This window comes from Homo sapiens, chromosome 2, assembly GCF_000001405.40.
Source record: "Homo sapiens chromosome 2, GRCh38.p14 Primary Assembly".
Classification (NCBI taxonomy): domain Eukaryota; kingdom Metazoa; phylum Chordata; class Mammalia; order Primates; family Hominidae; genus Homo; species Homo sapiens.
In genome coordinates this window covers 67,629,187-67,651,857 of record NC_000002.12, presented here as the reverse complement: position 1 = coordinate 67,651,857, position 22,671 = coordinate 67,629,187, and the positions used below count along the sequence as shown (strand labels likewise).

General features: G+C 39.5%; 1 long non-coding RNA gene across 1 annotated transcript in view, besides 2 other annotated features; it reads left to right on the top strand.

Moving 5' to 3' along the window:
• Positions 1 to 827: 827 nt before the first annotated feature.
• Positions 828 to 22,671, top strand: part of LOC105374786 (uncharacterized) — a 98,219-nt gene continuing 76,375 nt past the window's right edge. The window contains exon 1 of the long non-coding RNA XR_001739524.2: positions 828 to 892. This is a non-coding gene — a long non-coding RNA (uncharacterized LOC105374786). The remainder of the gene's footprint in view (positions 893 to 22,671) is intronic.
• Positions 4,825 to 5,325: an enhancer, noted in NCBI's record as "H3K27ac hESC enhancer chr2:67873665-67874165 (GRCh37/hg19 assembly coordinates)". NCBI's record gives its function as "activates a minimal SCP1, AML or CMV promoter by ChIP-STARR-seq in naive H9 embryonic stem cells {active_cell/tissue: H9 hESC(naive)}" and the evidence as "EXISTENCE:reporter gene assay evidence [ECO:0000049][PMID:30033119]".
• Positions 5,326 to 5,826: an enhancer, noted in NCBI's record as "H3K27ac hESC enhancer chr2:67873164-67873664 (GRCh37/hg19 assembly coordinates)". NCBI's record gives its function as "activates a minimal SCP1, AML or CMV promoter by ChIP-STARR-seq in naive H9 embryonic stem cells {active_cell/tissue: H9 hESC(naive)}" and the evidence as "EXISTENCE:reporter gene assay evidence [ECO:0000049][PMID:30033119]".

Genomic DNA, 22,671 nt, shown 5'->3' with positions numbered 1-22,671 from the left:
CCAAACATGCCAATATGACATCATCAGTTCATTGTCTTCTAAGAATGTAATATTTCATCTTTTGTAGGGTGACCCTATTCCAGGATAGAAACGAAAATAGAAAACAGGACTTAGAACTTGAAAGGGAAAATTTGGGTCAGCCTCCAGCTTAATGCAGTTGCCATTCTTGAAGCCAAAAGGCCGTCTAGTCAATGCACAAAGAGAGTTGCTGAAGAAGTGGGGACTGTTGGTTTCATTACATGCTCATTATACTACTGTATCAGAGTGGTTAGGATTTTGCCCTAACGATGAAATAAGAGTGTTATGCTTCATTTCCTGTTTTGGAAAACAGAGTCTTTGACTTAAAAAAGGCTAATTGCATATTGTTTTTAAAAATTGGGTTGATTCATCGTATCATAATTAAACTAATTAGAGTACTATTATTTTCCAACAGCTTTAATGAGTTCTTCTGTTTGGCAGGAAAGCTGAGACCAAATAATATTGCCATTTGTGAAAAGATGGAGGAACTCTATTCATTTGCATTTTGGTTAATAAGATTTGTGCATTAATCCAGTTATACTTTGTTCTCTTGAGTTTGGCAAACTTCTAAAATTTTCCAATTTTCTACCATGTCTCTCCTTCCCCACCTCCCATCTCTTCCTTAGAGAATTCCTGGCGTCTGATTTAAAATAGGTGGAAACATTCTGTTTCCAGCCGAGGCTCCCCAGCTTGGTTGGAATGCTGGTCTGGTTGTAATAGAGCCTGCTTTTGGCCAGCAGCTCTTAAAATAGCTCCTCAGCTTATAAAGCAGAAAATAGAAGTTTGGGCAGCCCAGTGTTTGCTTGCAGGGTGCTTCTGGCCGCTTGCTTTGGGGGGCACTGTTGCTCCAGCATGAGAATTCCAGCGGGCTGTGGTGAGTGATGGCTCTCTGTTGCGCAATTTTGTATCTGCACTCCTTGTCAAGTAATCATTACAAATGTTTCGTGGAGGAATGAGCTGGCTCCCAGCAAAGGTCTGCTTCTCTTAGAAGCGAGGGCCTGAGGGGTGGGGATTGGTCTGTCCGTGGTAAAATTTCCCCCTTTGACAGTGTAATTAAGTGCTAATTAACTAAATGAGTGTAAATGTTGAAGGCTGAGATAAATATCTACATTTCCTTAATCTTATTTTCCCCTCTAAAATTTGATAAAGAAAATTTGGATTTAATGGAGGATATATGTCAAAATTGTTTTTAAAGATTGCAAATCTGTTTAGAAGGAACTTGGTTCGGATTTCTACAGGAAAAGTTAACAGCATATAAATATAGAAGAGGTACAATAAAATGTGGATGTGATATTGCAATAATTATGTTAAGGAGGCTTAGTGGAGCTACCTTTTTGAAACATCTGGTTTGTTTCTGTTCTTTCCATATCCTGCAGATGTTGCTGAATCCATAAAATATACTGACAGGAGAATACATTAGCCTGCGAAGTCATTCCAATGAATAAAGCCAAGGGTAGCCTCTTCACTTTCTAAAAAATCTAGTTAGAAAAGAATTCTGCTTTCAGAATTCAGCAGGCAGAGATTAGGCCAATAATTGAGAGGGGCCCAGGGCCTTCTAAAAGTGTCAATAGTGATCTGTTCTTGCCAAAGGGGAAAAGAGGGGCTTTGTGGAGGGGCAGTCAGAGTAATAAATGGGAATCTTTGTAATTCAAGCACTTTCTCATTACCTTCTGTGGTTAGTGATTAAAAGTGGGACTGAAGAAAAGGCAAGGGAAGCCCACTCCTTCCCAGCTTGGTAGCAGAGCGAAAGGATCTTGAGCCCATCTTGAGCCCCGTTACCCTTCCTCTCCTGCTGGCCTCTGGGGCTGGAAAGAAGACCCAGAGCCAGGTAGAGGGCTCACAGACTCACGGGCAAGTGCCTTGGGAAGGGGATGCATAATCGAGATGCCATCTGTGGCATTGAGCTGATGACAGCTGCATGATGCCCTGGCTCTCCTGTGTCAACACCCTCCCCAGGCAGGAAACGACAGCGGTAGGCGCATGTGTGCTGAGCCTTCGGGAGAGCACACACAGGCATCCTAAAGGAGTGGGCATGGAGAGCTGGAGTTTATTAAGTAGGGGTTGGTTGCCTGTGAGATTAACACCCTGAAATAAATGCAAAGTTGAGAAATATTTTGGCTTCCAGCCAACTTGGCAGGAAGATTTAGGAACCTGGAATGGTCAGAAGGACAAAGCCTTAAAGGACCCATGTTAAGTTTAGTTTCTGGCCAGCTGTGATCTCTAAATTTCCCCACCATTTACATCACTCCTTTGTGTTACAGCATCATGTGTTCAGAAGGCCCCTATTAAAATGTGTAACAGATGTTTTTTTCTGGCCACCAGCCTGTCAGACAAGTAGGACATACTCATATAAACCCATTGGTGAAAAACTAGTATTTCTCTGGCTCTGCTCTAAGTTGTTGACCTCCAGTTGCTGACATCCAGTCCTATCTGCGATCTTCCTTCTGGGCCAAAGGGACAGATCTCTGCTGTGTCTCACAAAAGACTGTTTCTTGCTTGTTCTCTTAGGGCTCCTGGCTTCATGTCACTAGGGAGGGGTCTCTGCTGCTTGCTGTCCAAGCCTTCCATTTCATTAACAGTTTTGTGTATGGCTCCACCAGGCACTTAACTCCTGACTGCACCATTTACCCCTGTCCCTGGGTCATAGGAGATCACTTATTGAAGTTCCACAAGAGCTCTCCCTCCTCAAAGATTGAGTTTAGATTCCTCTCAGCTACCTGCCCCCACTCCCCAACACCCCAGGGTTATACCTCCCTTCTCCTTTTCTTTTGCAATGTACTCATTTCTGTTTTGATTCTTCAGCTGTAATTCTCAATGCTCAATTGACAGATTAAACCCAATATGAGCAGTTTTTATTCCCTTTGGGAATGTTTGACACTAATGTAAATGTGTTGCTTAAGAAAGGAGGTTTAGCCTCATTGCCATTGCCATTAATAATGATAGAATAATAATTTTTAACATTTATAACATCTTTTAGAATGAACGATATCCTTTCTCATCTACTAGTTCAGCTGATTCTCACAGCAATAATGATATCGGAAGGGCAGAAATTAGGATGTTGAGGTTATGGGTGAAGAAATTGATGCTTACAGAAAGTAAAGCTATTTCTTCAAGGTCGTGTAGCCGGAGAAACTGGGATTCAACTCATGTTAGAATACACATTCAGTGTTTTTCCTAGACATAGCAAGCCCTTACTAATACTTTACCATGATAGGAACTTAAACAGGTAGTCACAGGATGGAAATGTTTTTGTAGGGCAGTGTAGATATGCTAAGGATGGGAGAGTTACACAGAAATGAAGAAAAAGAATTTGGAGCTGCTTTTTCTTAAAATGTGTTCTGCAAACTTTTAATAGGTTAGGGAAAGAGTTCCATAGCAAAATAGGTGTTGTTAGGAAAAGAGTTCTATAGCAAAATCAACTTCATAAATATTAAATTTAATAAAGTCATACAAATTTCTTGATTATAGCACTCTCAGAGCCTTTGACACACATTATCAATTCCCAGGGCAGGAATCAGATGTACTATGAGCATTTTGCAAACATGTTTGACATGGGGCCCTTTTTGACTAAAGCGTCTCCTGAGGACATACTTTGGGGCGGGCACTATCATTTACTACCTGAGAGAGTAGGTGGACGGGTCACAGAGGAGAGGGCTGAGAACTGCTAAGATGTCAGGAAGAGAATCTAGAAGTCATGTTTATTCTGCTATGTAATTACTGGATCAAATAATTTTATCAACCAATTTAGGAGGCTTTATGTTAAGGCCCTATAAAAAGTAAAACTGGTATGTCAGTGTTTCATATATAAGGATTTATTAGAAGAGAAACTGGCAAGACTAAGGGAGGTGACAGTACAATGAGAAGAGCATGCAAGAAGGAAGGTGAGAGTTCTAGTCTCTTACTAATTAATCTTAGCTGTTGTGACCGTGGTCAAGTCACTATACCATCTGGACTTTGTTCCCTCAACTGTGAAGTGAGAAAAATGGATTAAAACAAAATTAATGATTAAATCAGAAATTGATTGTGTAAATAAAGATAAAGAATTTTAAATATTTATATTTATATTATATAGTGATATTATATAATATATTTAATATTTATATCATATAATTAATATTTATATTATATAATATATATTTAATATTTATATTTATATAATTATATATTTATATTATATAACAATTATATAAATAAAAATGTAAATAAGAATTATATGTCATAGAGGATAATAATGGATGCTTAAGGTGGAGACAGACTGGGGTGTTGCATCTTACAGTATATTGCAAGAAGTCTAGTTTAGCCTTCCTAGAGGGGTAAGAGAGAAGCCTGGTAGAATCAGAAGCAATTTGCCTAATGGATGCCAGCATGCATGTTACACCCAGCTTTAAAGTCGAAGCAGAAAGCTAAATGTCCCTAGGATCTCAATCTGAAGGCCGGAGAAGAGTCACTAGATAGCTAATGCTGGCCTTGAAGAGAAACAGAGACAATCTTATTGATTGTGGCAGGAGGCAGACAAATTCCTAGGCACACAGGGGTTAGTTCCTGGTGAAACCTGACCTTCAAGCCAAAGATAGCTTAAAGCCTGAAAGATGAGTTGCCAGAGTCCACAACTGGAGTGAGAACTTCCTCGATGTATTTTAGCCAATCAAATGATGCTTTTTCCAGGCCTGCCTATGGACCAGTCAGCATGCACTTCCCCATTCTGAGCCCATAAAATCCCCAGACTCAGCCACACATTGGTACTACCCACCTTCAGGCCCCTTCTCACACAGAGGGCTACCTGCTTTGGGCCCCCTCTCCTATTGAGAGCTGTTCTGTTGCTCAATAAAACCCTTCTCCACTGCACTAACTCTCCAGTGTCTGTGTAACCTCATTTTTCTTGGATGTGGGACAAGAACCCTCCCGCTCTCCACCAGCGCAGGGCAGCTGCCCTATGTGACAAGGAAGTGGCCACGGTGGGGCCAGGCCAGCCCAGCCCAGGAGCTGCAGGCTAGAGTGGGGTAGTGGGACTGAATGAGCTGTGACATGCTCCCATTCACTGGAGTGTGTGGATGGCAGGAACAAATGAGCTGTAACACACCCTCCTATTTGCCGCACTGTGGGCGGTGGGAATGAATGTGAGCTGTAACATGAACGAGCTGTAACACACCCTGCTGTTTGCTGTGCTGTGGGTGGTGGGAAGGAGAGAGAGATGTAACAGTCTTTGGTGGCTCAGACCTTGGGACTCCCTAGGGGACAGCCATAACACCCCTTGGGGCTCTGCAGTTGCTGGTATCTCTGAGTTTTCAGGTGCCACCATGTTCCCCTTGTCCAGAAGCCGGCACCCAAGGTGGAAGCAGGTCACATCATGCCCAGTTCAGCTGCAGGCTGAGCTCAGAGCCCCAGCGGGCGTGGAATCTGGGGTGGTAGTGTGAGTTGAGTGCAGCCTGCCAGGCTGAGTGGGAAGAGTGAGTCCAGTGGTGAGCCCAGAGCTGAGTGATGCCTGGGAAGGGTACTGCTGGCTGTGGAGATTTCTGGCTGGCAAAGTGGCACCAAAAAACTCCTGTGTCATTACCAGTGAGATAGCAGCTTTAGAGAAAAAAGACTGAGCCCTTCCTAGGGAGAAATGAAGAAGGTTAATCAACAAATTACTGAGAAGGAAGATAAAAATCACCCAAGAGATGAGGAGGCTGAGTATAAGGGATTGACAGAAGAGCCAAGGAAATCAAGAGCAGTAATTAAACCAAGAATGAGGGGAGCTCCTCAAATGGGCACAAGAGACTGGAGGATGGGAGAAATGCCTGAGTGAATGTGGTTTACTGTGACTAGATCTCAACACCCAAGAAAAAAGGAAAAGACTCACTCAAGACTCAAAAATATAAAAATAGAATAGAATTTTACACTTTTTTTTTTTAACCACAAAGAGGTACTGGTCAGGAGCATGAGATGCACTGGAATAATAAATAGCTTTGGTGTGAGCATAAAAATAGTTCCTGTTCAATAGCCCATGAGTCTTAGAGTACAACAATGGTTGTAAATTTGACTTCTATTAATATCCACCATCCACTCCCTGGATAATCCAGAAGTCATTTCTCCTCCCAGAGAGGTTTGTGTGCACTCGGAAGCAGAGAGCAGAGGAATGGAAAAATAGGATGTGAAGGCCAATGCTCTCAGGAGGACAAAGCTAAAGCCCACACACCTTAATATCTGAAGTACTGAGCCCTCTGGAAATTGCAGCTACCTAGTTTGTCTGTTCTACAAATTGCCACCATTCCCTTGCTGATAACCTTGTATTGCCCTGTTATCTATATCTTATCATAATAACCATAAGTGTTTGTGGTGACTGGAGATAGGAAAAGAAGGCAATAAGATACAAATGTTATGGCAGCTTTATAATGCTCAGCCAAACCCTGCATGCACTTTTTTCCTCGTGTAGGGAGGAATAGGGCCTCACCCAGCACCCAGCTGTTCAATACAGAGATATTCTTTGTTGTGCTCTTCTCCAATCTTACAGAGTTCTTCAACCTCCAAATGAAACAAGTATTCGGTTGATACATATTAGAAGCCTCCTGTGATTCAGTCCATAGTTTTAAGAGTTCTAGAATGCTTCAGCAAGGCCGAGGCTTAGAAATGTTCTGCAGCAGCAGAATGTACATTTGGGAAGCAAAAAACATGGCCACATTGTTTAGGAAAGCATCCTAATGCAGTAGACACAAACCAAGAATAATACCACATGTACTCTGCCAGAATCACTCATTGCAAATAGAAAGTTCTTTCCATGAGCCTGGCACCAGGATAGACCAGGGTGGAAAAAAATGGCACAGGGTGGAAAAAATGCCTACCTCTCAAGGGTTCACGGGAAGCACACTTTATTGAAATATGGAACAGCATTTTCTTAGAGAGTTATTTGACAAATAACACATTTAATTTGACTTGTGCAGGAAAAAATCAATCTCAGATTGTTTCTAAGGAATGCCAACATTAAGCTGAAAAATGAAAAAGTCAGCTAGCCAACTAGACATTTCTAAATATCCAGATACTTAGCAGCATGCTCAATAAGCATTTGCTTAGCTGGTTGGCACTTTTGTCTTGGAGGAAATTATGATCTGCCACCATAGATGCCTGAGTTCCTGCAAGTAAGTGGCTGAGAACAACCCATCCAAACTCATCTCATGTGAGCTGACTGGGAGATCAGGCCTGTCTTGCTCCAAAATTATAAATTTCTCCTTGGGCAAAAACTGGCTTTTCCTTCCTGCCTCTCTCTTGTATGTTCAGTGGCTCAATAAATATGTGTTGATGCAAAAATGGGCAATGCCAGGCAATTTAGATCTGTTTTTCCTGACCTAGGAGTAGCACAATGTTGACTGTTGACTTTCTTCTCTATAGAGCCTCACTTCTCACCAGCTGCAATGGTTTTTTTCCTTCTCCCATGGTGGTCTCTTCTCACTGCCTGTAAGACGCTAGCTCCCGAAGGACAGCATCCATTTCCTATTGGCTGTTCTCCAGTACCTACCTTAGTTCTGTGCACTTAGGAGGTGCTTTGTAGGTATTGATTGAGTGAGTGATGCTCTCAAAGGTAACCATATAGACTTTTTATGCTAAGCCACACTAGCCTGCTGCAGGCCTTCTTCTTTAGGCCACTTACATTTGCCATTTCTATCTGTCACCACCTTTTCTACTTCCTGAGGTTCTTCTTCACGTAAATTGGACTGAGGAGCCACAGTGTGCCAGCTCCTGTCTTCCTTTTTGCCCCTGAAGACAAACCTTCTCTCATTGTAAAGCTTTCCCTTCTGATCACTACAGGAAATCACATACAAAAACAACAAGTAATCTTAGGATGTTCTGATGGTCAGGGTCCTGTTCTGTAGCTCCCAATCCCTCTGAAGGGGTCAGTGAAAGAACTGGCTGTTGATTGCTGTAACCTGAATATAGCTAATATACCACATGGCACTCTCTATGCATAGTATAGATTCTAAGAAAGAGCATCCTGTCAGGGAATAATAAGAGAAAGATGCATAAATCTTACAAATATCATAGAACAGGAGTTGGCAAACTATGGGCCAAATTATTTTTTTAAGTTTTTTTTTTTTTTTTTTTAAATAAGGTTTTATTGAAACATGGCCACATTTGTTTATGTAGCCTATGGCTGCTTTTGGGTGACAACGGCAGAGTTGAGTAGTTGTGACAAACATTGTGTAGTGTGCTTAAAGCTGAAAACATTTACAATCTGGCCCTTTGTGGGAAAAGCTTATCCCTGTCTTAGAAGATGCCACAGTAGAAGAGCATTCTTAATGTACAAGAGACTACCTTTTTCCCCCTACTTCTGTTATGCACAGTGACCTCCATAGGGATAGCAGCTGGTGTCTCAAGAAAATAATTCATTTTATTTTCTCAACTTCCTATCAAAAATCCCTCTCCCAAATCCAGCCTAGGTAGTTCCTAACTCCTTCATCCTCATTTACCTTCTTTCGAATCAGATCCTTCTCTCCAGCTGTTGATTCCCCTGCTTTTAAAAGTCTAAATGCCAAAAACTTGACCCTGACTCTGCTCATTCTAATTTTCAGCTTTCTCTACTGTTTATTGCAAGCAACCTAAGAGAAGGTCCAGGATTCATGCCTGAAGACACGGGGTCTTCCTCAGAAGGGGTGCATAGACAGGATGCTAACAGGCTGATCAAAATGATATCATTTGCTCCTGTTGCATCATGAATCATTTCAATCCCAGTTATGCTCCTGAGGCAGGCTCACCAGCCACTCGCCTTTATGCAGTCCTGATGTTTTTGTCTAAATTCAGAATTCTCCATGGTGTCCTCTCATCTTACCTGTAGACTTCAGAGGTGACTGTCCACTCCTTCTCACACAGGTCTCTCAGGTGGAGGGTCTCCCCTCCCAGGATTTCTATGAGGGGACACTCATCTTCCAGGTCCTCTGCCCTTCCCAGTCATAATCCTAAAGGACATTTCCTCATTCCTCCCACAGCATTCACCTTTGCCACATGTGTTTGATGCCTGTCTATATATATACATGGATTTTTAAAATTTCTTTTCCTGGTTTCAAATATGAATTTTGTTCAATGCAAGGAGTTAAAGTAAAAAATTACATAAATAAGAAAAAAAATTACTTGTAATCCCATATCCAGAGATAACCAGTATTAACATTTGAATGTGTAACTTTTTTATTCTGTATGTATGCATATTTTATACACACACATATAATTATTACATCAAATTTTGGTCCAGAGTGTATATTTAGTTTTGTCTTTCTCTTTAGTGCCATATTCCGTGTCCTTGGTTTTGGATTTGTACTACTGTACACTGCCTTATAATTGAATCTTTTTTTTCATGAAGGGAAACCAGATTTTTTTCTTAATTAGATTAAAATCCTTGAGTGCAGGGATAGTTTCTCTTTTTTTAAATTCTCACTTTTTTCACCTCTATTTTCATTCCCACCAGCAACCAGTAAAACTTAGCAGCACAGAATGAGTATTTTGATAAATATTTTCTGAGTAGAATTGAACAGAATGAGGTGAGATGCACCCATAGCAGGAAACTGGAGCACCTGATATTCCCCTCTTGTTCTTGCCACACAGAGAAAGTCACAGCTTGAAACGAGTCATGAACGGTTCTTTGGCGGTATGCACAGTGATGCACCTGCTAAGTTACAAGCCCGATGAATCATTTGCCTGGTTATCTTGCTAGTTATGCTGAACCAAATGCTACTTTTCAAACCAAACAAGTCTAAACCAGAGCTCTTTTCTTGCTTTGGTCTTGGGTTAGTGTTTTCTCTGCAAATAGTCTCCCTATCTCTTTTTAAAAATCTGTACTAGTGGCCTTACAAAAACAATATTCAAAGAATAATTCTCCACTACTCCTGTCTCTTCTAATAGGAATTGTATGACATATTGCCATGTAAATTAGATTTGGCTCCTTGTTTTATTTATACAATAAAACTGAGCAAAGATATCAACCACAGGATAAATTAATTACAAGGCAGAGAATCCTGCCAGATATTTCCTTTGGGGGACAAACCAAACAAGAAAACCACTCCCCAAAACTTGTTCTTATCTATTTCATTACGTGCTTTGGCAAGTCTCAATGACCTGCTTATTTAACTAACCTAATGGGTTTGTTTTTGTTTTGTAATCTACTCCTTTGCAAAAGTTAATGTCTTTTTGCTTTAGTATTAAAAATTCTCCCTTCCTCTGTTCCAGTCTTCCTTATGGACCTTCCTCCCCTGCATTCCTTAGATGAGAAATTGCAAAAGTCACTGAAATTAATGAAAAACACACAGTCCTAACAACAGGAAACCAGAGACCCAATTTGGCCTTCAAGGGGCTCTGCTTAGGTGTATCATATTGCGTTAGATGATGTAAAAACTTCACGTGGGTTAATCAGAATGCAACCTCAACCCTTACTCAAGACACCTGTTGGACTGCTGTTTGCCCAAGAGGTTGAGTCTGCCTTAGTCTCCTGGGTCTATAATGCATTTAGCTCATTATCAACCCTTACTTTTTTTTTGTTGGGGGTATCTTCTATTTTTCAAAGCTCTTTCACCTCTGTTGTTTCATTTGATCCTTACTCAGTCCTGGGAAACATTTTATTTCCATTTTAACAGATGAGGAAACCCAGAAGAAACAGACTTGCTCATGGTCACACAACTGATCTCTCTCTCTCCCTCTCTCAACTATTCTAAGTAACTCACTAAAGTTTAAGCATCTCATTAATATTTCCACTTAACACCATTTAGTATATTTTCTTATTGTTTAAAAAAAAAGAAAATACATTCATATTGAAATGTTGCTCATAGTTTTATATTGAAAGTTAGTTCTAATTTCCACTGCTATATCTCATGATGTGTGGTCTGAAGAGACCCAAAGCTGGAAAGAAATCTAAATGTCGTCTGGTCCATACCCGGACTTCTTGGTCCTGCTTTCAAACTGTTGTCAACTGGGACAGCAGATTCTGTTTTTCTCCCCTTTCCCCTCCAAGTTTTAGCTTTTTGCATTGGACCAAGATATGACCTAAAGAAGTTGGGCATCCTGGAACTTATTCTTCTGATAAAAGTAAGATTCTCTAACAAAACGCCTGAAAGTCTTGGTGGCACATCTTAGCAGAGTAAGTGTGAGCTATGATCTCTTTGGAGCCATGTTTCTTGAGTGTCCATTTCAGAGACTCTAAAGGCACTACATGCCCTGCGAGGAGTAGGGCATAAGATGGCCTCAATCACTGCCCACTTCCCTGCTGCTAAGCTAAGTTGCAGAGCTGTAAACTGTATATACCTTGTCCAATCTCATTTTCTAGTCCCTCCCCATGTGTATAGCCCTCTTGTCATCCTCTAGCCTCTAATAAACTCTTGTTTAACTAATCTGAGCTGGGCTACAAGAATTTTTTTTAAAAAAGTTGGATGTCCATGCTTGGGAGAGAGTGTTAAAGAGGGAGAAGCTCCTTCTCTTTTCCTAGATGAATGTAGTTGAGCCAGATGGCCAAGGGAGAGTTGAATTTCAGATGTGAGAAACAAAACTGAATGGTCTAATCATGTTGGAGAGCATCCTTCCATTGTCCATCTTAAAGATTCTATTTTTTATTTTGCTAAGGATGATACCTTTTTTTTTTTCATTTTTCCTGAAATACTCTACTGTTAATTCATTTGACAAATTTATCAAGCACTCAACCTATGCAATATATATAAAGATTCAAAGATTTATAAGGTACTTTTTCTGTCCTCAAAGAACTAACAGTAGGTGAATAAGACCTAAACTTCAGTGAATATAATGTTGATGAAAGCAGGGAGGTACAATGTATTTTGGGTGTCACTCAGTAACAGGATCACTTTCAGCTTCAGATGAGGGGAAATCAAGGCAGGCTGATGGTACTGATGGCATTTGAACTGAGCCTGGGAGGCCAGGCTGAGGAAGTGACCTAGGCAGAAGCACAGGGGCAGGATGTTTTAAGGATTCAGAGCTCGCCTAGGAGAATAGTGGGAGAGAAAGGCAGCAAGATTGAAGCCAGATCAGGGATACCATAGAAAGCTTTGAATGCTAGTGTCAGTAATTCCCACACCATTCATCCACCTGCTGGTATAAATTATGAATTCCAAATAGAGTGGCAGATCCAGGGACATTATGCTATTGGAAGTAGAGTAAAAAGGGGACAGACTCTCTAGTCAGGGAGACTGAGTGAAAATCCTATGCCGGCTGGTGTGTGATCTTAGGCAAGTTACACAACTTTTCTGGGCCTCGGTTTACACTTCTGTAAAATAGGATAAAATTTTAAATGCCCTTACATGGCCACTGTGAGGATTAAATAAGGTAACATATGAAAAGTGCAAGATACAACAGATATGCAAAAAGTTTGAATTCATTTTTATCATTTCCATGGGAATTAGTATAGTGTTACCTAGAGAGTCTCTAAGCTTTCTCATAGGTACCCCATAGTCCTGGGAAGAAGCAATCCGATCTTTATCCTTTATCTTACTTGCATATTGCGTGGCTTCTACCTCTTAGCCCAGAGGTATATGGTATATTATAGAGAAGGGGTGGGTAAATTACGGCCTACAGACCCAATCCAGCCAAGAAAGGTTTTCAATGGTTAAGAAAAAAATCAAAAGAAGAAATTTTATAACACAGGAAAATTACATGAAATGTAAATTTCTATGTCTATAAATAAAGTTTTCTGGAAACACAGTCACATTCATTTGTCTACATATTGTCTGTGGCTGCTTTCCTGCTACAATGGTAGAATTGAGTATAGAAGCTGCAATAAAGATTGTATGGCCTGTGAAGCCTAAAATATTGACTATCTTGACTCTTTACAGAGATGTGCCAAATCTTGTTTTAGATTACTCCTGTCCTAATTTGTATTCCAAGAGTTATGATAAATGTATACAGTGTCAACCAAGTATAAGCTAAGTAATAATAGGAAATGCTTAATATTTTCATTTAAGATCTTGTAAGTATGCTTGAGGAAATTCTGTGTGAAGAAATGTTTTCTTACCTTCCGGAATGAATTTCCAGTGCCCCACACTTGTGTTGCTTATTCTCCGTCACTATGGAAGCATCACAGGTACAACAGAAAAGGGTCTATGACCCACCATGCTATTTGAATCTCAAAGCTGAAGCTTCACTATTAGAGAAAACTTTGTTGTGAAATTTAAATAAGCAGTTTACCTAAAACCATTAAAACAACAAAAGCTAAAAACAAGGAGGAAGGAAAATAAAGAACCTGTTGCTTTCTCATCAAGCTCTGAGACCTAGGGAGAATACCAACATTTATTTTTATAAAAATGCAACTTCTCTTCTGAACAAAGGGATGGATAAACATCTTCAGCTTGCCTGTGAATGTTCCTAATGTAGAAACTGGCTCCATGAAAATCTCTCCACCGTTTTCTATCCTTGAATCAACTTTAATATAGTAACAACCAAAGGGTAAGTTGTGCTACCTATGATATCTGAGAGGCCAAATCTTTCCTCTGTCAGCAGAGTTATTTTAGACCCAAGGAAACGCATGCTGAATGCCCTTCTCCTGTAGCCAAACAGCAGTTTTCATAGCACTAAGTTACTGAAAGGACATCTGAGCAGGCAGGGCTCGGAATATAACCTGTGGGCACTGTAAAAACTCCTTGGGGACACTAAAGCCACTGACAGCTTTTCACTCATTCATTCATGTATTAATACTTATCAGGTAAATAATTATCAACACAAGCTATGTTGAGATCTATGGGAGTTATAAGTTTAAATAATGTTATTTTATTTACTCTGTAGTAATAATCCACAAAATAGGCACATTCTCTCCCTCCTTTCTTTCCTCCCTTCCTCCCTTCCTCCCTTCTTCCCTTCTTCCCTTCTCCCTCCCTCTTCTACTCCTCCTCCCTCTTCTTCTCTTCCTCCTTGTTTTTCTTTTTTGTTTTTGGATAAGGTAGTCACAAAACTGATCATCTATATGGTATGGACCATAATAGCTATAGGATTTCAATAGCTTACCATCTATTATCAAGGTAAGCACAGGCGCGTTTGAACCTAGAAGAGAAATGCCAGACCCCGGCCAGGAGGGTCAGAATGGCTTCCTGAAAAGATAATACCTGGGATGAAACCTGAAGCTTCACTTAGAGTTTTTTCCATGAAGAATACAAAACAAGACTATAATCCTTAGTGAAGAACGCCCTGCAGATGAAGACTAAGGGGTGAGCAAACCCTGATTATCTGGGCATCCACACGGAGGTGAATATGGCTGGAGGACAAGATGTAAGGTGGGTCTGGTACTGAGGAAAGTGGCTAGAGGAGAGTAGGAACTGTCTTATCAGTGGGTTTGTGTATCATGCCAGGGAGCATGAACTTTCACCTGAGGGTAAGGGAATGCATAATCAGGATAGGATTTTAGAAAGATCATTAAGAACCAGGTGGAAGATACATTTGAGTGGAATAGAATAGAATTGGTTGTTAGAAGGCCAGTTGCTGTAATCCAGACAAGAGAAGCAAAGAAGGATAAACTCTTATTGGAAACTGGACTCTCTTCTCTCTCTTCTTTTGATCACTGAACCTTCTCTTGGCATGTATCTACTAATTGCATTCTTATTTGTAGATCTACCTGGCTGTTTCTCCCACTGGCTCATGGATTTTGCAGAGGAGGGATTATGCTCATGTTGTCACCGAAGATTTCATGGAACATTAGACACACATAAGACACCGCATCAAGTGGCCTAACAAATACATACTTGAATTACCCTTTCTATCTCAAGAAACTGTGCATTCAATAAGTGGTCCTTGGTAAAGCAACCAATAGGTATCATCCTAGTGAGAGTAGCGTCTATGATTGTCTTGGAGCAACAGGTATTACTATGCCCTGTCACCACCATGCCGTTTCGGAGTCTCTTGCTCTGTAGAAACCCAATATTCACTCTCATAAATTCAAAAATATTAGATTCCTGTTGTTTTGTCTCTTCCAAGCTTCATAAAGTATCTTTCCTTTCAGAGAGTTGCTTATCTTGCACAAACTAAAGCAGGAAGATATTCTTACAATAAAATAGGAGACTAATATCTAGGGCTAGATTTACTTCTATTAAAGTGCTAGTTTTGATAAACTTTTTTTTCTGGAGGCATTGAATCAATCAGTAAATCAGTTTTAGCACTGTATAAGGAAAAGCTTTGATTGTTCACTAGTATTCATAAATCGAATGACCTATCTAGAAAAGAGAAGGTCCCCTGGCCCCAAAGCTGAGAAAGATCAGGGGCATCTTCTTGGATGGTACCCAGGATATTCCTGCTTTGGGGAAGGCTAGAGGAGATGAAATTTATGGTTACTTCTGATTAAACGATTCTGCAGCCCTATTGGTTAGAAGTCAACTATTTGATGTTTTTCTTCCCATTGGTTTTAAATGTTGACCATATAACAGAACCCTTTCCAAGAAGATATATTTAGCAAATGCCAATGCAAGAATGAAGAGAAGTAAAGAGGGAGTCGATCTTTTTTTTTGTATGTATGTATGTATGTATGTATGTATTTATTTATTTATTTTTATTATACTTTAAGTTTTAGGGTACATGGGCACAACATACAGGCTAGTTACATATGTATATATGTGCTATGTATGTGGCACGTATACACCATGGAATACTATGCAGCCATAAAAAGTGATGAGTTCATGTCCTTTGTAGGGGCATGGATGAAGCTGGAAACCATCATTCTCAGCAAACTATCGCAAGGACAAAAAACCAAACACCGCATGTTCTCACTCATAGGTGGGAATTGAACAATGAGAACACATGGACACAGGAAGGGGAACATCACACACCGGGGCCTGTTGTGGGGTGGAGGGAGGGGGGAAGGATAGCATTTGGAGATATACCTAACATTAAATGACGAGTTACTGGGAGTGGATCTTATCTGACCCTCCAGACTCAGAGCTATAGCAGAAACTTAAAGATTCTCACAGAAAAGGCATATTTATCTTTTTTGATATCTTGAGCCACTGTGAATAAATACTTTGGTCCTTTGTGAAATGCATGAAAGACTTCTTTTTGATTTCCAATAGTCCTAAAACAGCATTTCCATTTCCATGGAGCTAAGGATCTGATTTAAAAAAAGAAAAATCCCAGCCTTAGAGCTTCTCTAGTGTGGGCTAATATGTTTGGTTCTGGGGTAGATGTAATTTGTCTTGGGGTTAATGTTTTAACTCTCACCTCATAGGCTATTTCAAAAATTATAAATCAGGATATACCTGACATGAAAAAGTGGAGTTGGGCTGTGAGACAAGAAACTTGGGGTCTAGTTCTAGTACTGTTATGAACCAGCAATGTCTCCTTCAATGAGTCCCTTAATGACACTAGGCCTTGGTCTTCTTAGCTACCTAATGAGGTAGTAAACTAGGCAATTTGGGAGATTTTCCTCATGTGCCTGCATTGTATGACTTGAAACTCAATTCTTTTGTGAAAAAGTTTTGACAAGCATGAAATGCCTTTGTATGAGCCTACTGAGGGAGGCTGGATCTCTAGGATGAGAATTCACAGTTTTGTATTAGCTCTGCCAGATACTCAGTGCCTCATCTTTTGGTCTGCTTTTAAAATTTATCTAGTTAAAGACACATGAGACACATTGCTCTTCTGGGAAATGCAATGGCTCAATATATTAGTAGTATTTTTGTGAGTTGGGCTGCTGAGACCAAGACATAGGTTTTAAAGTCATGGAAACACAGCATTTTTGTTGAATTCCTATATATGAAGGATAAACATTTCTTTCTCTTCAAGTGGTGTTTATGTTATTCACCAGAAACATGATTGATAACACATAAGCTGGGAGGTGATGGTATATTTATGTGAGACCCACACAAAGTAATTCCACATGGAGAAATATCCTATAACACAACCATTAGGGAAGTCTTGACCGAAGTGTTCCTTTTCCTCCAAGGAAAAATATATCTTTTAATAACGGAATAATTCATCTATTTTGATTCTTTAGACTAGATTATGACCTGAAGTTACTGCAATACTACAGGAAATCAAGTTTGATTTTGTAATATAGTCAAATGAGTACTTTGGAGTGCCATGTCTGAGATCAATAAGGAAGCAGTAACTACATTTACTGTCATATGATGATATTGAGGTAAAAACATAATGGTCAAAATTATAAAATCAATTTCATAATTTAATCAGAAATGTTTATTGATACTGTTAAAGTTGAATTCAATAGCTTCTGGTATGTAGTTAATTTCCTACCTGTCAGAAAAATGTATTGAAATGTTCTTTCTTGAAAATGATTGGAGTTAATTCAGTAGAGAAAACAGCAAAGTTTCATGCTAATAGATAGAGAGTTCTTCTCTCTCCAACCCTTGTTGGATGCAAATGCTAGAAGTTTTTTGTTTGGTTCTTTTCAATACTGCAAAACAAATATCTATCAGCCACCCAAGTGGTTGGGACAGTCATCCCCTAAAATATAATTAATTGTCTTTTTGGGATGAAGAAAGTATTTTTAGCTTTATTGTAAAACTGCAAAGATGAATAAGCAACACATGTAGAGAGGTGTGGGATGGCTCAGTAGCTTCTTATTAAATGATAGCTGCTAAAAAAAATGAGAAGAAAGGTTAAGCTCTAAAGACTGGAATTCTTTAATGCTTTTACTTTGCCACTAGCTACTAATTTTGATCTGTAGTCACATTAAGCTGAAAGTGTCTTAATTGAAGCAAAAGTCACTTAAAGGAATATCTGCAAGAATGACTTGTATATTTGAAATAAAGCTTTTGGGGATTATGAGAACCTGTCCAATCCATTCAATTTAAATGAGATAAAAATCAAATTCTGAAAGTTGAGCAGTTCATTCAGAAGCATGAAACATCTTTGTTGTGACAAATACAACTTTGAAATCCTTTATGATACTTTAGAAATGATCCTTATTCAAAACTTAACAGTGGTTCCCCATTGCACGGTGAATGAAGTCAAGTTTCCTTATACAGACATTCAAGGGTTTTCACAATCTGGCCAAACTCCCTTTCTGGCTCATCTGCTTGGCCTTCTATCACACTCTCTACTTTGCTTAAACTTGCATTTGAACTCACCTGCAAATGGTTCCATGCTCTTTTCTTTGTGAGGAATTGTTCTCTACCATATTATTTGCTTAGCACTTTTGGTATCGATTCAGATCTTATTCTGCCTTATATTTGCATATTCTTTTGGTGTCTGTGTCTTGCCTCATCAACTAAACTAAAAAATCCATGAGGGTTGGTACTGCACTCTGTATCCTCCAGAGTGTTAAGCAATGACACACTGCATTGTAGTTGCTCAGAGTATTTGGTCAACTAAATGTTTTGCAAAATTTTTAAGATTAGGGTTTCCAGAGGCAGCATTTGGGAATGCAGCCACATTTAGGCTTTGAGTGTGCTTTAATTCATTGCAATAAATCAGAATGAAGAAATCATTCTTAATTAGAATCATAAAATTTCTGGACAGGATGAAACTGTGGGTCTCACTGGATGAATGAGATAAAGGCCAGGAGAATTCCCAGAGGTATTTAGCATCAGCGTCACCATCAGACTCCTGGTCTCCACTCCTCTTTATACTGCGTCATGATGACTCCTGAGGAGCTAATTCCAATTATCCACCAATGACAGGAAATGGGAGGCAAGTTGCTTTAAAAATGAACAGAATCCTTTGAGTAGAGGTGATGGTCCAGAAGTTTTAAGAATTGATGACAGAAGATACCAAGAAGCTTTATTTGGGTTGCTAGTTATTAATTGACCTTTGGGTATAAAATGTTCTTATTAAAACAAGTGAATCCAGCATTCCAGCAAAGAAAAAAGATAAACTACCTGAAAAAACATATTGACTCTATTGTGAAACACAGAATTAGCTGAATAGGTGTTCTGTCCCTAAGCTTGGGTGGAATCTGTCTTTAAGATTGTTCCCCTTTTCTCTTCAGTTGTGCTGCTCCCTGCTGTCCCTGGACCTTCACCTGCTTCATGGCACTGACATTTCCACTTGTTTTGATTATCCCTATTAATGTCAAATGCTCACGTTAAAGATTCAAATCTAAGTTTCGTTAAGTGTCAACTATGACTGTGCTTACACCAAGAAAAAAAAGGATATATTTAAGCATTAAAAAACCACGTAAGGAAATATAACTGTATATTTAATGCTAGTGTGAATTTGTCTACAGAACCTATGTGTTCCAGCAAAAATGACTATGAAACAAATCCTTTTTTTCCATTAACTCTCTTATATGTTTCTGTAGGGGAAAACATCCAATTATTTGGGTTAACATGACCAAAGGAGAATATGTTGGGCCGTTGATGCATACATGTAATACTATATAAGACATAAAGACTATTATAGCACTTTTCAGATATAAGATCTACCATTCACTAATGCTTATTATGTGTTGAACCTGTGATAAATGCTTTATATATTTCATTTAATCATCACAATAACCTTACATTATCTATATTATGATCCTCACTGAAATAAGCTTAAGAGAATGGTATTTGAAGCCAGAGAAACCTGAGTTAAATTCTCATCTCCTTCATTTACTGGCAGAGAGACCTTAAGTAAACCACTTACTTACCTCTTCTAAACTTCAGTTTTCTCAGTCGTAAAAATGAGAATAATAATAATACACACTTCATGGGACTGTTGTAAGTATTAAAATAAAGAATGCAGGTAGAGTGTTTGCAAAACCCCAAGCATGTTGTAGATGTTCAATAACCGTTAGCATTTTTTCTTTACTATTAATGTAGATAAAAATGCTGAGCCTTGAAGAAGTTAAATAACTTGCTTTGAGCCACACAGCAAGTTAGTGGAAGAACTCAAATTTAAACCCAGGTCTCTCCCAAGTTTCAGTGTCTGGGAAAATATTACAAGGGCCCATGAACTATTGGAGAATGACCAAGGCAGGGTAACTTAGGATGGAAAAGAAAGAAAATATGTGTATAAGACATAACAGGAAGAAAAAGATCACTGACAAGCTGTGACAGAGGGAGAACGCTGATAAATAACCTCAAAGTTTTGAACTTGAATTAATGGGGAAAAAAAGGAAGCTTCTGGTGCCCTTGGACTGGAGCCCAGGAGCCTAAACCTGCTGCTGCTAAAACTGCCAACAAGGTGCTGCCTCAGCTATAACCAGAGCTCTGCATGAGAGCCTGCCCATTCTGGGACTCTAGAGGCTGAAGCTCCCCTGCTGCCACCAGAAACTCTTAGCAACCACAGTGCTGTGGAAATCAGAAGCAAAGAAAACAAAACAAAACAATGCTTCTGTCTTTTGTTCCATTAAAGAATGGAACAAAAGTCTTCAAACAGTTTCTCCAATTGGTAGAAAGTAACAAGAACCTAGCTGGCAAGGGGCCTTGGGAAATGTAGTCTGCAGGCTTCCAGCCCCAGCAATAAAGAGCAGAATAGAGAAGGTCAGGCTGTGGGGCTGAAAAACAAAAGATAAATAAGCAGCATAGGAAGAAACATTACAAGAATTAGAATTTTCAGAAGGTAGAAATGGTTTTAGAGAATATAAGTTGTTTCTGTTTTGGTTAACTTATATCACAAGGAAAGGTAAATGCTTTTGCTCTCAGAAATGCATTAAAAAGAGGATACATTATTTGTTGTAATAGACCTATAAAAGTTAATTAAATTCCATTACATAATCATGTTTTAACATAAAAGGAAAGTTAATTGAAGTAAAACATAATAAGTATAACAAGTAGGTAACATGTACATATCAGCTCCTGCCATATTTCTCCTGTTATCAGGTGCTACTTATGAGAATTACATTTTCATTCATCTATAGAACCTTCAATAATTGAGAAGGAGTCACTTGAATGATGAAGATCCGTAGGTGCATAAACTAATTCTATTCCATTTCCTTTTAATAAGATACAGATAGTATCCTTAGGTAACAGAATACTGATGCTTTGGTGTCAAAAGTTCTCAAGCTACCAGATTTTGTCTAAACTTGGTGGTAAAGCCCTTGACTTTCTTCTTGTACCCAAGAAGAAATTATAGAAAAACTACTGACTACTTTCTGAGTATTTATTTTCCCCTAGATTTAGTCCTTCTCACACTATTTGCTTTCTTCCCCTTTTCTTTGTTCAGTTAAAACAGAAGGCACCTATATCATGAGACCCTTAGACAGTTCTGTAAGCAGATGAGGGATGCTCTTAGGCAATTTTCCACAGGCCAACTCTTCCTTTACCTGCAAACATGAAATCTGTACAGTAAAGTTCAGAATCCACAGCTGAAAGGGCTATCATTTGAAAAAAAAATTTGCCTCTCAAATATTTAAATTGTTTTACATAGAAGGTAATATTTTCTGTTTTCATCAATATTATCTTCATCCTTAGACCAAAAATTTTAATGATACTTCCTCTTTAATTTCTATTGTCTTCCTCAGTAACTATGGGGCAAATGTAGGTAACAGCATATGAACTTCTTAAACTGTATCAATTGTCTAGTTCTTTGCCTACTTGAAAATTTAGATCAAAGTCTTTACTTGCTTTGAAGTCTCTCCTTACTATCCTAACTTTTTGTTGTTGTTGTTAAGACAGGGTCTCACTCTGTTGCTTAGGCTGGAGAACCCAGGAGTTCAAGCTATTCTTCCACCTCAGCCTCCCAAGTAGCTAGGATGACAGGTGCATGTCACCATGCCTGGATAATTAAATACCCTTTTTTTTAAGAGATGTTGGAGTGGGGGGTTCTCACTGTATTGCCCAGGCTGGTCTAGAACTCCTGACCTCAAGTGCTCCACCCACCTTGGCCTTGCAAAGTGCTGGAATTACAGGTGTGAGCCACTGCATCTGGCCCAACTTATAGTAATCTCTGTAGCCTTTTAAAAAGTGGCTTTACAAAAACATCCAAGGCTTCACATCATTTTACTTAGGATTGGACTGAGGAGGGTTTCCTGCACTCAAGTTTTCCAGAGAAGCAGAGGATGGTGGTGACCATGCCCACTAAAATGGCTTTATTAATTTCTTGTTGGCTCTCCATCTACAAAGAAGTTTCCTACTAAACTCCACTATGGCCCTTGGTCCATTGGCTCACATCCTGGTTTTGCGTATTCAAAACCCTCCATGCCCAGTTCCACAAACCCTGGGCAATGGCTAGGCCAGATGAAGTGCCTTCACAGTGACTAGGGCCAATCATTATGGTGCTCAACAATCTCTGGGCTTCCCCTCCTCTTCCTGGGCACCTAGCCCCATCGAACCACAGGGGAGCCATGGGACTGGTTCTGGTCAATGAGGATAAATAGATCCTGGCCTCTAAAATCTGCCACAAGATTCTTTGCTCTCTTATCTTTCTCTTTTCCTGGTCAGATGCAGAGGATTCAGTAGAAGGCTGCAAATCAGAACTGTTTACAAGTTACAGCCTGAATCTCTGAGTGCCCTGGAGCAGAGCTGGCTGAACTATACCAGTAAGAAATGAACAGTGGTTGGATTAGGAACCTGAGGTATCATCATCATCATCGCAGCCAGACTTTGTTTCCTGTCTAATACATACACCTTTAGAATATCCATTTACCAAATTGAAAATCTGAGCCTTAAAGAGATTAAGTAGTTTGATCACAGCTCCATAGCTAGTAAGGGGCAACCAAGGTCTGCATTAGTAGACTTAATTTAACCTCAGAGCTTAGGTTGCTAACCAGTAAACCATTCTCTGATTGCTACCATTGCTCTGGCAACAGAATACTTGGAGATGTTTCAGGTCCATTAG